This window comes from Homo sapiens, chromosome 4 (assembly GCF_000001405.40).
Source record: "Homo sapiens chromosome 4, GRCh38.p14 Primary Assembly".
NCBI lineage: Eukaryota > Metazoa > Chordata > Mammalia > Primates > Hominidae > Homo > Homo sapiens.
In genome coordinates this window covers 176,106,514-176,122,488 of record NC_000004.12, presented here as the reverse complement: position 1 = coordinate 176,122,488, position 15,975 = coordinate 176,106,514, and the positions used below count along the sequence as shown (strand labels likewise).

The 15,975-nt window shown below is 33.3% G+C and overlaps 1 protein-coding gene across 12 annotated transcripts in view; it reads right to left on the bottom strand.

Moving 5' to 3' along the window:
* Positions 1–15,975, bottom strand: part of WDR17 (WD repeat domain 17) — a 116,975-nt gene that overhangs the window by 60,327 nt on the left and 40,673 nt on the right. For all 12 annotated transcript variants that reach the window (NM_170710.5, NM_001378103.1, XM_047449569.1 and 9 more), the window contains 3 exons: positions 10,786–10,914; positions 6,510–6,693; positions 2,392–2,622 (listed from right to left, as the gene is read on the bottom strand). In NM_170710.5, the coding sequence (NP_733828.2) occupies positions 2,392–2,622; positions 6,510–6,693; positions 10,786–10,914 (544 nt within the window). The remainder of the gene's footprint in view (positions 1–2,391; positions 2,623–6,509; positions 6,694–10,785; positions 10,915–15,975) is intronic.

The window sequence follows — 15,975 nt, the reverse complement described above, 5'->3', positions numbered from 1 at the left end:
TTTATAATGTTTTGTGCACATTAATTGCTAAATAAATCCTACAGAATAAATGAGGTTAACAAGTCTGTATTGGGTTGTTATGGGTTGAACTGTGCTCTCTCAAAAAAGGTGTTAAAGTCCTAAGCCCCAGTACCTGCAAATGTGATCTTATTTGGAATTAGGGCCTTCGCAGATGATCAAACTAAGATGAGGCCCTTAGGGTAGAGCTTAATCCAATATGACTATGTCTTTATAAAAGGGAAAATTTTGTCACAGAGACATGCATACACACAGCAGGGATGCCACGTGCCATGTGAAGACTGCAGTTATACTGCCACAAGCCAAGGAACAGGAAGCCAGGAGACAGGCCTGGAACAGATCCTTTCTTTGGGCCTTCAGGGGGAGCATGGCCCTCTTGACACCTTATTTTATACTTCTGCCCTCAAGAACTGTGAGATAATAAAATTTATGCTGTTCTAAGCTGTCCTGTTTGTGATAGTCTTCTTACATCAGCCCTAATAAACTAATATATGGGTGGAACAGAAAAATAACACATGCTGACTTGGGTATAGATGGTTTCACTTGGTTTAACAACTGGAAGATTGGGTTATTGAAAAACAATGGTCTCTTCTGGAAGGCACATATCTCAGACTGTTCAAATATTAAACATTCTATCCTCTAAACCTAAGAGAGGGAAAACAAAGGTAGTCTTTTTTCTTTTCTGTTATTTCTATGTCAAAATAAGCATGCACTGTCTCAATGTTTTATATTTTAGATACACAATAAAAAGTCTCAATGTCTTATGGCTTGAAACTTTCAAAGATGACTAATAATAATAAAGCAAGAAAAAAGATAACCTCAGTCAATGATAAAGGAGAGGGTAAAAATGACAAATCACAAAATGTATAAAATATCTAGAGTGCAATTTAGAATAAAATAAAAACACACTCCTCATATCTTCTTCAGATCTAGTTTGAAAAGAAAGTGTCACAATCCTGATGAAATCTTTGGGTGCAGGCCAGGGAAGAAGTGGAGGAATATCACTAATGACATTTGGTTACATAATGCAGAGAGGTAAGAGGAGGAACCACACAGCATACAGCCATATTTATTATAGATTGCATTCCTGAGACTAAGGAAGACTGCCGGAGACAAAGGTTACAGAGAAAGAAGTTGTATTCACCAGATCAAAACAAAGAAAGCTATGAATTCTATTGCCTAACTATCAGCCTTAATGACCAACTATAAAACAGGATCTGTTTCCAGTGCAAGGACAGAACAGATAAGTTGCAGTGCAGGTGCTTGGTACAACAAATCCAGAAGAAGCACCAGTCATTGATCCCTCCTCATGCTAATCTTTGACAAATCAATGAAACTGTCCCCACGTAAACCTGGTACAACCAGAAGGAACAACAGAGGACGTGTACAAAGAGCTGAGAGAGAAGCTGGGGAAGAAGCATATGAACATTTATTTTTATCTTTCTTTGAAAGGTAAATAATAGATCCCATTTAAAATGTATTTAGAATATAATGGCCCCAATGTTTCAATGTTTTACACAATCCTTTTTAACTTTAGAAACATTATTTCCTGAAGAAAGATTTATTTAAATTTTCACAATTTCATTTGTTCAATTTCAATTTCTTTTTTCTATTAATTTCAGATAAATTAAATGTAATTTGTTTTGTGAAAGTAGTTATCGTGTTCCTGAGAAAGCACTTTCATTCATCCATCTAGCCAGCCAGAAGTCACATACATCAACAGAGATACTAGATAGCTAAAAGTATGTTTCCCAAATGTTAAAATACTTATTTTTGAGGGGAAAGCAAGCAATTCAGGTAATTTTTGATTTTTTAATCATACTTTTGTAAGTGAACATTAATTTCTCAGACCCTTTCATTCAGCCAAATCAATTAACTAACAGGGGTTCAAAGGGTTATCATTTTTCTTTTATGCCAGTTTCAAAGCCTTTGCCAAGGAGCCGTGGCATCAGAATGGTATTTTTACAAGCAGATGGGAAAATATTTAGTATTAGTAAACCATCACATCCTCTAGCTGTATGTCCTTGTTCATTCAGGTTGTTTTTTAGTAAATGTACAGAAATAAAGAATTGATTAAAAATACAAATAAGGGAAAAATGACTGATTTAGGTTAATTCCAAGTAAAATATTCACAGCTGTGTTGAATGTATTATATATATATATATATATATATATATATATAAAACTTCAAATGAATATTTAGACTCAGTACAATACTGGGTAACATTTTAACAATAATAATATCAAAATTAAAATTTTGTCACTTTTGGTTTTATTCACAATGGGGACTGGTCACTAGAAAGACCAAGCAAGTACAAAATTATATATAAGAAAAATATACTATTTAAGATACCTTGCTAATTAAATTCTTACCTGGATGAAAAATTGATAGACTTCCATCAATATGACCAAACACAACTTTCCCCTTTTGGTGTGTATGCCATCTGAACATACAGATATCAGACAAGAAGCTATGAGCATCTTTGTGTACAATCACTCCACTATCTGGTCCTGAGATGGTCCAAATGAACAGTGGGCCTCTGTGGGAAACAAATGCCACCACATCCTCTGCATTCCAGCACCAACTAAGAGAAGCAGGGATCCCTGGAATACATTAAATACAGATACATAATAAAGATACAGCATAAGATTACACCATTAAATATTACTTGCCCTGTTTACATTTCTAAAACAAATTATTATTTTTAAGATACATTACTTTCTTATTTGGGAATTGGATTTATAAAGAAATCCCAAAGACTGCAGGGAACATAGGCAGGGAAAGTCCATGATGAAAGAAAATGTATCTAGTTAGGTTTAAATACTACTTACATGATCATTTGCTTCATATAGTCAAATACATTTATAGACTTTTTTATTTTAGTAGACTATATATTAAAGATTAGAGCAATACATTCTTACTGTGTATTTGTATATAAGACCTCTAGGCATTCTAGGTATACAAGGTAGTGTGGGATAAGATTCCTGCTTTAGAGAATTTTAAATGTGTGTTAGGGAGACAGGGATTAGTGAATAAAAATATAAATGCTACTATAAGGATTTAAAAACAATGGACTTAATGTTATAATCTATGTCTTATCAGGAATTTAGATTCAAATCTAAGCCTTGCCTCAGAAAAACAAGTCATTTTATTTCTCTAAATTTCTGTTTCCTCATCTATAAAATGGAGATAACAATAAAAATAGCTGACCACTTATTTCACATGAAAGTCAAGGAAATAAAATCATTTATGTAAAGGTACATTTACATTCCATCAATAAGATGGAATATAAAAGTTAATTGTTAATATACCTGCTATTGTGATCAAATAAATCATATATAAAATAAGTATTATGAGAAATTTATGAGAGAGAGATTGCACATCTTCCAACACTGATATATTAGCTGGCTGCATCAAAATCATGAAATGGAATATAACATATCAGATCATGTGGAGTTTGAGCCAAGGAATTTATTTATTTATTTATTTTATAATAATTATTATTTTTTGAGACGGAGTCTTGCTCTGTTGCCCAGGCTGGAGTGCAGTGATGCAATCTCGGCTCACTGCAAGCTCCGCCTCCCGGGTTCATGCCATTCTCCTGCCTCAGCCTCCCGAGTAGCTGGGACTACAGGCGCCCGCCACCATGCCCGGTTAATTTTTTTTTTTGTATTTTTAGTAGAGACGAGGTTTCACAGGAATTTATTTTTAACAAGCTTCATCAAATGATTTTGATATGCAGAAAGGTTTAGAAACCACTGTGCTACTGTCCTGGAAAGAAATTAGATTTGAATTATACCTAGAAGGAGGGGTAGAGTTTAAATACATGGAATAAGCAGTATTTCCCAGGAAGAGAAAATGATATGAACAAAGACACAGAGTGGAAATTCGCTGATTGACAGTAAGTTTAGTTTGTGTTAACAGTCTATGTGCTCCAAGAGGCAAAAACAAAGCCTAATGCCTACTTCAGGGCCTGACCCATAATGAGGACTCCATAAATATTTGCTGAATGAATGAATGTATACATGAAAAACGCCAGTAAAATAGTTGATATGGTTTTAGGATACATTAACAGAAGTAGAATTTACCCAAAAAAGAGATGAGGTACTCTGTATGGATCAAACCACCACAGCACAGTAGAGGAAAGACAATAGAATACTGGTTCTCCGACTGTATATTTAGAGAAAGACAGCAAGGAAAGCGAAAGGACCAGAAACAGTGTCATATAATAATAATAGAAAACACTTTTATAGTGACTTATGTACAAGCACTTTCAAGGAGTGTTGCAATTTAATTCTCCCAACACTATTCTGAGATAGGTAGGTAGTATTATTATCCACTGTGACATAAAGTGACTTTTTCAAGTTGGTGACAATTTTTACATTTTACATTTGGAAAAACTAATATGCATTTTCATTTAAATGGATTGTTAGATTATTAGAAACAAAAGGAAGAAGAAGTAAAAATACAGAGGCAAGATCAAATTCAACAACTGTATTTGGAAGTTGAAAAAAAAAGTTCACTTAATGCAAATTTCTACTTTGCTTAAGCTGGATTCTAAAAAGAAAAATAAGCCTAAAACATTTCAAAAGTGTTACTTAAGATGGAAATCACCAAAAATAGTCATAATTTTTTTGCAAATAAAATAGCAAAGCTTTCAATCTTCAAATTAAGAAGACATTTGGATGAGGGAGATATTGATAGCTGAAAATTTTCAAAGAAAGGAAAAACATGAAAAATTTGCCAAAAGCTTTCCACAATTATCTCATCATTCTGGGACTGTTAATTAGAAAGTATTATTTAGTTGTATATCCAGTGACAAAAGAAACTATGGTGCATATAGCTGATGAATAAATAAAATCTTCCCCCATGAATGGATGTGATGTATATAGTGTCTGATGATAAATCCATGGATACACTAGGTGATAATAAAATTAATCATTACTTCTGCAAAACATTTAGAATTTATGTTTATTATATGCAGTTATAACCTAACGTTGACTTTGTGTTACATCTTTACGAGAACAATAATATCGTGCAACATTTTAGTTTATGGCACATACAATATGGAAAGAATTTCAAGAAAAATTTGTTGTGTTATTTAAAATTAATCTCACACAAAGCTGGATTTAAAGTACTTGGAAATGCATTATCAATCAATATAAACAGTAATGGAGTAACCTATAGAATTTGTGATTGCTGGACAAACAGATATGACCAGAAAACATGGGGAGATATGAAAAGTCTTAATTGAGGCCATCAATCACAATTTATATATCACAAAGCATTGTGCCAAAATAATTTGTTTTTTTCTCATGGAAAGCCTTAAGAAAAATTGCTAATTACATTAATGGAAGCTCACCGAATAGCTGACTTTTTACAATATTTTGTTCAGAGATTGGGGCAAACATTACTCACTGTCTAATACATTGGTTGTTCTAAGTAAAAATAAAAAACAGGGTACATAAACTTGGGAATGAGATCCATATACTTCTAGTTGAAAATTAACTTCATTTGACAAATATCTTTAACAGTTGAGTAATAAAATTTATGTATTACACTGATATTTTAAGCATTCTTAATGACCTAAATTTGAAAAGACAAACCAAAATACTAAAAATATCAAATATGTCTAAAAGTTACAAAAGATATTATTTTACTATTATTATGGAAACAAAATTTAAAGATAATTGCCTATAAATTCCCAGTATTTTTGCCTTAGACTATTACAAAGAAATTTGAACAAAATAAGGTTAGTGAGATTGTCATGTCCAGTTTTATATCTCAAATTTATAACAATTATTTTTAGAGAAGAAGCTGAATTGAAAAACATATCTAGCAGTAGCTTTCAAAACCATAATCAATTGAGCTAAATATGGTGCTCAAAAAGAGAGTTAATTATTGTGACACTGAACACAGAATAATTATTACTTAACTTTACCATTATGATGGGATAAGATTAAATGCGAGTTCCCAATTCTAAGTAGAAAGAGTATAATGCTATTATTCCAATTCATAAAGTCCAATTTATGTGAATGAGGATGTTCTACCTTGACCAAATTAAAAATAAAGGCATGAAACCAGCTTAACAATGCATCAAATATATGCATAATACTTTCTTTGTAATTTAAAGGTTGGAATAGAGTAATGAACAGCCAAGGCTTGTTACTTGTCTCAATAACAAAATCTTTCTGATTATTATTTTTATATTTATTTTGGAAATTCTTACATTATATTTAAACATTAATAAAATTATTTGGTATTGGCTATGTTTTTAGTCGATCATATGTTCTACGTATAATTATTTCATGAAATTTTGTTTCAGCTTTGTACCTATGGGCATGAGTCATTATGTGAAATTTATTTCTTATACAGATTACCATTAAGAAGTTTGAAAACAACATTTTAAAAGCTGAACTAATAATATTGATAGTGCTTGTTGAAATAAAAATATTTTATTCCATAAAATAAATCCCAGTTGTAATTATACCTTTTGTACTGTCGAGTTTAGCAATGACTTTTTGTTCTGCAACATTCCAAATGATCACTAAATTATCAGTACTGCCACTTGCAAACAGATCAGGATTATGTGGACACCAAGAAATTGCTGTGATTGTTTTTTTATGTTCAGACATAATTGCGTGAAGTTTGAATTCATTATAACGGTGATCCAACTAAAACAAAATATATAAATAAAATATTTTAGTGCTCCTTTTTAAGATAATACACTGTTAATATTCACATTACACAAAACTAAAGCTACATACAGGAAAATTATTTCACCTAATAATAAAGATATGAACATATTTCAAGCCTTGGTCTACATTCAAGTGTATTCATGAATATTGAACCAGCTAAAAAAAAACATTAAAAACTGAGAGAATAAAAACATATCCATTTTAAAAACAAGTAAAAATAAATGTTTCACATTTAAATATGCATAATAATTTAGAGCTTTATTATATTTTCCATAGCTATATCTTTTTATGAGAAGAAAAAACCCTTGGTTTTGGAATATTTTTTTCTGCAATTTTTCACTTATACTTGAATCAAGAAAATTTGGGTTAAATACACCAACTGCTCATTATTACACTATTAAGATGTCCAAAGCTTCCAGAGCAATGATGTCATTCACTCTTTTTATTTTATTGTTTTTTTTGGATGGGACATTATATTGTGTTTTTATACATAAATAGAAAAAATAAACAGCCTAATTTTTCTTATTTCTTTTGTAAGTGTGCCTCCATTAATTAGTGAATTAATCTCTATCATTTTTAGCATGTTTTGGAATATGTTATTTATGTCCTTTTGTTGTAGTTTCTTCCCCTTTAGCATATAATGAGCCTTTCACAGTGCTATTCTAAGTTTTAAAAATCATTATGATATTAAATATTTATTACATCAAACTTTTTAAAGCTATATGCTTGCAATAAAATCCTAACTGATAAACAGCCTTCAAATCTCTACACGATTGAATCTCTGCTATCTTGCCAAAGTAATTTGAAATCATGTTCCTCCCTGTTCACTCTGAACTTCTTGTTTCTCTATTACAGCCGATCACCTCCACTTGATGGCCTTCTGCTTGCTGCTTCCTTGGCTTCTAAATACTCTATCCACTGATTTGCTCATGGTTATTCATTCTCCTACTGAGGTCTGAGTTTAAATGCACCTCTTCTGAGAGATGTTTTCGGACCATGCTATCTTAATTCATAACTCGCCCCAGAACCTATCCCATGACTCTATCTTATTATACCTGTTTTTTCAGCCTCTGTAGAGCACACTTCTTTCTGAAAATTTTACCTATTTGTTTACTTATTTATCTTATCACCTTTCCTTACACCTTACAGGAATATAAGTTCCACAAGAAGACTCTGCCTGTTTCTTCACAGTTGCAATCCTGGTACAGAGTAAGGCTTGGTCAATTGAAGAGATTCAGTTAATATTGAAAGAATAAACACTTAAGATCTGTTTAATATTTAAGTAACTTAATTTTTGCCATCGCAGATAATGCTGCAGTGAACATTGTATGTAAAATTTTTGACTAATCACATAAGTATTTCCTAAGGCTTTTTCTTCTATAATTTCTCTCTCTTCCTATAACTTCAACTATTCTTGGACAACTTTGGATTAAAACATTAGTAAACATAACCCAAAACCAATGAAGTTTTCATTTGATTAGCACTGCAGCAATAGCAATTTTAAGTTGACTTATTTAAATACATAATTGTGTTTTCTATACATTTAGGAATAAATAGGTTTTTAAGTTTTAAATTATTCAGCAATTTAAGTCACCTATGGTAGATACAGTGAGTGTATCTAATGTATCCAAAAGAAAAAAACCTACATTATTTAGAAATTCAGTAAAAGAATCTATTAATATAGTAAATGTGTGAAGAAGCTATGCTGCATATCAGTGACCACTGACATTACCATACAAATTATCTACATAGTAACTGTAAGCACACTAGAGAACACTGAACTATTTGCAGGAATTAATCTACTGATGCATTCCTATGATGTTTACAATTCAGTAATATTGAACTGTACAATTACATTGAGATTGACCATAAATTACTCTACTTTTAGGGTACATTAACATATCAGTGCATTACAAAACAACAGTTAAAGAAAAATTCTAATACCATTTCCCATTATCATTTAATCATTCAGAAAAATATAATACAAGAGTATCATTATCCAGAGTGTGACCGATTATCAGACTTTGACTACACATTGGCACTAAGTGTTATTTAATAAATATTTCCTCTGAAAATAATTGTATCATGTTACATTTATGTAGCATAATTTTCAAAGCACTGTAATTGAGATGATAATATTTAAAACACTACTTATTAACATAAATTTCATATTAATGTCACCATTTAATTATGTAATTTTCTATTGGCATACTTTGAAACAAGGTTTTATAGTGGACATTGTAATGAACTGTCCCCTAAGTTTATTTGCATCAGCTTCTAAATTAGGATAATTTTTAGTTTGTTTCAGTCCTTAATGACATGACAACTTTCATGTACATTGTTTATATTACTAATTTTACCTCAATATTTTAAAATATTCATCATAAAATGTCATCACAAAATTTAAGACATAGAAACTTGAAAAAATTAAGTTATGGCTTCATCCACTGAGTTTCTTTACCATCCTTACCTCAGAAGAATAGTTTGACTTGCTTGATAACTTTCTCTTCTTTAGGAGGAAATAAAAGACAAGATAAGGACTTAGGGTTAGGAGAGAAATTGTGTAGGTGGGATTTGGGAGTGACAAGCTTGGGAGTATATAAAGAGTGTAAAGGAGGTAGATGGGAGAAAAAAACAGGCATTTAGAAGTCTTGCTGCTGTGTTGTGTATGAAGGGGGTGAAAATGAAGAAGTGTGAGTTATATTGAAGTTCCATTTTGGTAGCTAGATATTTCTACAGTCTTAAGAAATGGACTACATAAAATCTTACTCTATATCGTGGAAAATGGATTGTTTTATACATTAATGCTATATTTCTTAAATTTTGAATAAAGCATAATGCAATTAGTAATGTACGAATATGTAGTAATGAAAAGAATTTTTACTCTAGAATAAAACAAGATAGTCTTAACTAAAATAAGTTGGAGTTTGAAGATTCTTTCCTTAATTCATTCATTTAAGACATTTAATGAATGTCTTCTAAGTGCCAGAAAGTGCAAAAATGTGAGAATTAAAAGATGGGAAAGACTCCTAATAAATGAAAGCATGCAGAGAGGCAGTCCATTTTATGAGGTCCTTTACTGCTAAGAAAGAGGGGAAAATAGAATATGGAAAAGAGTTCATACAGGAGCTGAGATTCGAAAGATGAGAAAGTGTTCTCTAGACAGGCAATGTAAGCAAACTGAAAAATTAGTGTAAGCAAAGGCAAGATATGAAAGACTGAGATGTCTTAGAAAAATGTAATTGGTTTGGTATAACTGGAACACAGAGTAAGAGAGAGGCAGGAAGATCACAAAAGCATTTGAATGCCATTTTATGAAGTTTAGATGTTACTATTAGGGAATGAGTAGCAACTGAAAGCTTTAAAATTTAGATTTGCACTACAGATAACTGATTACACTGAACAATAAATTAGTAGGAGCCAAACTAAAAGTAGAGACTATTAAGAGATTATTATAATAGTTTAGGTGAGAAAGATATGAGGAACATATTAGAATCACTCTTGGCTACCAAGGGCACGGGATGTGAGTGGAAGAGGGAGTCAAAGATAACTATCACATTTCTGGTTTAGATGCATGGTTAGCTGGTGACACTGAGATACTGACTTTGAATTTAAGAGAATCACTGGACTTTGATTTTAACATGCTTATGGCACTTCTATATGAAGAAATTCAGGCGGTTTTTGGCTCTATAAATTGTGAACTGATAAGGGATATCTGAATGGAGCTAGGACACGAAAAACATAGTTATACAAGTTTTTCTCCCAATAATATCTCACAATATATGTCTGTCCTAATTTTACTATAATGATCTCTAATGGACTACCCAAATTCTTCAACTGAAAAAAGAATTTTCTTATATCAAATTTACTAATCATTTAATAATGTAAGTGTTTTCTAAAGGTTTAACTTTTAAAACCTATACGGTATAAATCACAAAACTTTAAAAATATAAATATAAATGGAATTATAGCATTATGTTTTTCATGTAACAAGGACTTAAAATATGTATTAATTAAATATTAATTTTACCGGATATAATTAAAAATGGAAAAGAATTATTATTTTACCTGATAAATATAGATAGCCAGGGTCGCACAATATGCAAACCTGTCTCCACTGGCAGCACATACATCCTTGTTCCATGGCTGACATCCAGCAGCCAGCAATCCCACTTGCCTTACCTGGGACATGTTTGCCTTGAAAAACAAATTTGAAGAAATGTCAGTGATTTCCATTATTGATAAACTTCCTCATTGTTTTACATCTATCTTCCCCAACCCTTACCTGTGTGCCCTGAAAAACATTTTACTAGTACTATTAATTTTGACTTTTATTTTCAGAGAACAGCAGTTGAACTCCCTAAATGTCTGCAGACATCAAGGCAACTAATTTAAATGAGGAAAGCAGGAAATATGATAATGAAGGAACGACAGCTGACATTTGGCCAAGGACTGGGAAACACATACCCAGTGACAGGAACTCCAGTGAAATAGAAATTGCACATGCTATATTAATAGTATCACTGAAGAAGGCCATCCCATGTTGCAAGATTTATGGAACTTCCTAGAAAAACGGAAATACCCAGATTTTTATGTGAAATGTATCCATTTTTCAATACTGGCAATTCATTCAAGGCATCACGTTTAAATTTAAAACACTGTGGACCAGTAATGGAAGGGTTGTGACCTGTGTCATAGAACTTCAGTTTTTACATCAACTCTTCATCCTCACAAAATCTATTTGAGGTGCATAAGACAGGTATATAAGCTAGGTTAACAATACTGTTCACTGTTAGGATCGGGCAGAAAGAAGCTGAAAAGTATCTGAACAAAAATTGTCTATGTGGCAGGACAGAGGATGTTGGAATAGACAACCCCAGAGATGCAGACAACGTAGTGCAGAAGCAGGCCTGGGCTGAGACTTCAGGAAATAAGGAATTAGACCAAGCTTTGCACCACACATAGAGTGTGACTTGGAGTCAAGCATTAAACCTTACGTCTCTATTTCTCGTATCTAAAATACAGCTTCTGAACTATATTTTCTACCAGATTCCTCTCAGATCAAAAAAATGCTATGAATCTATATGTAAACTCTAAATTCCTCTAAGATACTGGAGAACAGACAGTAAATGGTGAGGCTGTAAGTCTATGATCATAATGAAAACTCATCATAACAAAATCATACTTAAAAAACACATTTGTGCAGAGTATTAAACTATGTGGTTATCTAATAAATGACATTCAAAAAGAAATTATTGACAAAAAATGCCTTTTAAAGGTAGAATCCAAGCCATTATTAGCTATCTTTCCATTATGGCCTAAAATACTGGTCTAGGAATAAAGATAGGCTGGGCGCGGTGGCTCACGCCTGTAATCCCAGCTCTTTGGGAGGCCGAAGAGGGCGGATCACGACGTCAGGAGGCTAACATGGTGAAACCCCGTCTCTACTAAAAGTACAAAAAATTAGCCGGGCGTGGTGACGGGCACCTGTGGTCCCAGCTACTCAGGAGGCTGAGGCAGGAGAATGGAGTGAACCTGGGAGGCAGAGCTTGCAGTGAGCAGAGATGGCACCACTGCACTCCAGCCTGGGCAACAGAGCGAGACTCTGTCTCAAAAAAAATAAAAATAAATAAATAAAAAATAAAGAGAGGAGCTCCTAATATGAGAGACAATCTTCCATTTACACTACTACAAAGTTACACCAGGTAAATTCAATTTTTCACTATTGTCAATTTCATATCTGATTTTTAAATAAGGAAAAAATGTAAGTAGTGATTATAATCTTAAATATTTTAGCTTGGAAAATTAAGTAGAAAACTGAGAGCTATAATAAATTTGGTTTTACGTGACTAATATATTGGGTAGTCAATATTTAGTTTATGCTGCTCAAAAGCTTTGCATAATGTTAATGTCAAAACCACAACATGTAAAATATCACACATACAAAACCTACACACATAAATTTATACACATCTGATCTACATCTCAAGTCTTATAGAAGCTTGTTCAGTGTACACCCTGAACCTTCCAACTCTTAATCTAATTCTTTTAATGCTCAGCAATTAGTAAATTTTAAATGGTTACATTTTCTCCCATAGATCACTAACTCATATTTATTTACGAAACTACGTTCTTCATTTTATCTTTTCTATTTCATATTTCCACTTCTGAAAAGGATCTACTTTCTTCTCATCTCCTCTTCTCTTCTCCAATTCTTTCTGTCTTCATCTCATTAAATCCCCTTATCTGAGCAGAATTAGTGATAGATTTAGGAAAAAAAGTAAATAAATTACTTGAAGTACAAGCTGGCATGACAAACAAACAGGGCTACCAATCTTGAGTGCTTTTATGTATTCAGAAACTTTCCTCCTCGTCTAATGACACCTGTATTTCCTCAAACATTAGCATTCAGGGTAAATAAAAAAGATATACACTTCTTTTTTTTTTTACACTTAGTAATGTTACAGTATCTTTCGCTGAAAATGTACATTATTTCAGCCACAATGTGAGTTACATTGACTTTTGGAGATTATGTGGGGATCTATTAAATTACTATTTATAACATTTGCATCTAAGTAAAAATGTCTTTTGATTTCTGTTTAACCAAATATTGAGTTTATATTTGGAAAAGAAACATAATTAAAGAAAAATCTTTAAACACACATTTAAAATGAAGTTATTTGGCCAAGCACAGGGGCTTATGCCTGTAATCCCAGCACTTTGGGAGGCCAAGATGGGTGGATCGCTTGAACCCAGGAGTTCAAGATGAGTCTGGGCAACGTAGGGAGACCCTATCTCTACAAAAATTACAAAAATTAACCAGGGGTGGTGGCGCGTGCCTGTAGCCCCAGCTACTTGGGAAGCTGAGGTGGGAAGATTGCTTGAGCCTGGGAGGTGCATGTTGCAGTGAACTGTGATCATGCCACTGCACTCTAGCCTGGGAGACACAGCAAGTCTCAAATAAATAAATAAACAAAAGTCATTTTAAAATTTTCACTTTCTGGTAATGTTTTTTACACATTTTTAATAATTAACAATTCCTAGAAAAACAGCAAAATTGAGCAATAAGTACAGAGATTTCCCATATACCCCTCATAGCCTCCCCCACCCCATAACACAAGTTTCCCCACTATTAACACTCAGCACCGGATGGCACATGTTAAAACTGATGAGCCTATGTGACACATCATTATCACTCAAAGTCCACAGTTTACATTAGAGCTCATTCTTGATGTTCTCCATCATACAGGTTTTGACAAATGTGTAATGATAGGTATCCACCATTACAGTATGGGCAAGAGCAGCTTCACGGCTCTAAAAAGTCCTTTGTGCTCTGCCTATTCATCCCTCCCCCTCCCCAATTCCTGGCAACAACTAATCTTTTAATGTTTCCATAGTTTTGCCTTCCCACAATGTCTTATAGTTGGAACTGTACATTATGTAGCCTTTACAGACTGCCTTCTTTCAGTTAGTAATATACATTTAGTTTGGCTTCATGTCTTTTCATGGCTCGATAGCTAATTTCTTTTCCTTTTCTCCTTTTCTTATCGTGGTAAAATACACATAACATAAAATCTAACTTCTTAACCATTTTTAAGTGTACAATTCAAAGGTATTAAATACATTCATAATGTGCAACCAGGAGTGTAAGGTTGCAGTGCGCTATGACCATGCTACTGCACTCCAGCCTGGGTGATAGAAAGAGACCCTGTCTTGGGGGATAGGGGAGAGGGAGGCAAGTGGGGAGGGCAGGAGGAAGGGAAGAAGGGTGGAAGGGAGGAAGGAAAGAAAGAAGGAAGGAAGGAAGGGACAAAAGGGAAAAAAATAAGGAAGGAAGGAAGGAAAAAAGGAAGAAAAAAGGAAGGAAGGAGGGAAGGAAAAAAGGAAGGAAAGAAGGAAAAGGAAGGAAGGAAGAAAAAAAGGAAGGAAGGAAGGAAAGGAAGGAAGGAAGGGAAAAACACTATCAATAGTACCCAAAGAATGGGAAAAAATATTTGTAAACCACATATCTGTTAAGGGATTAACATCCCAAATATAGGGAGAATTCCTAAAACTCAAGAGTGACAAAGAAACATGATTTATCTGATTCAAAAATGGGCAAAAGACTTGAATACATAATGTCCTTAAGTTTCATCCATGTTGTAGTGTATGTCAGAATTTCCTTCTGATTTAAAGCTGAATAATATTCCATTGTGCATATATGCCATATTTCCTTATCCACGTGTCTGTGATTTGTCGCCTGGATTGCTTCCATGTTTTAGCTATTACAAAAAATGTTGCTATGAAAACGGATGTACAAATATCTCTTCCACACCCTGCTTTCAATTTTGGAGGGTTTATATGCAGAAGTGGGATACTAGATCAAATAATAATTCTATTTTTACTTTTTTGCAAAACTACCATACTGTTTTCCACAGCAGCAATTCCATTTTACATTACAACAGGGCACAAGTGTTTGGCTAACTCATCCTCACCAACACGTGCTATTTTCTGTTATTTGATAATAGCCATTCTAATTGGTGTGAAATGGTGTCTTATTGTTCTTTTGATTTGCATTTCCCTAAAGATTAATAATGTTGAGCAACTTTTCATGTGCTTATCAGCCATTTCCGTAACTTCTTTGGTGAAACATCTATTAAAGTATCTTGTCCATTTTTCAATCAGGTAAATCACGTTTCTTTGTAATTGTTGAGTTTTAGGAGTTTTCCCTATATTTGCGGTATTAATCCCATATCAGATATGTGATTTACAAATATTTTCTTCATTCTGTGGGTTGCTGTCCATTTTACTGTTGATAGGGTTTTTCTTTCCTTCTTCCTCTTTTTCTTTTTCTACAGACAGGTTTCCTTCCGGAGTGTAGTGGCATGATCATAGTTCACTGCAACCTCAAACTCCTAGGCTCACGTGATCCTGCTGCCTCAGACTCCCAAGTAGCTAGGCCTATAGGCATGCGCCATCATGCCTGGCTATTTTCTGTTGTTGTTGAAACAGAGTCTCACCACGCTGCACAGGTTGGTCTCGAACTCCTGGCCTCAAGTGATCATCCTGCCTCAGCCTCCCAAAGTGCCCAGATCACAGATGTGAGCCACCATGCCTGGCCAGTGTTTTTCTTTTGATGCACAAAATTTTTAATTTTCATGAAATCCAATTTGCATGTTTTTTGCTTTTGATGCCTGTGCCTTTGTTATCATATCCCAGATATTGCTGTCAAATCCAATGTTGTGAAGCTTTGTCCTCTGTTTTCTTCTAAAAGCTTTA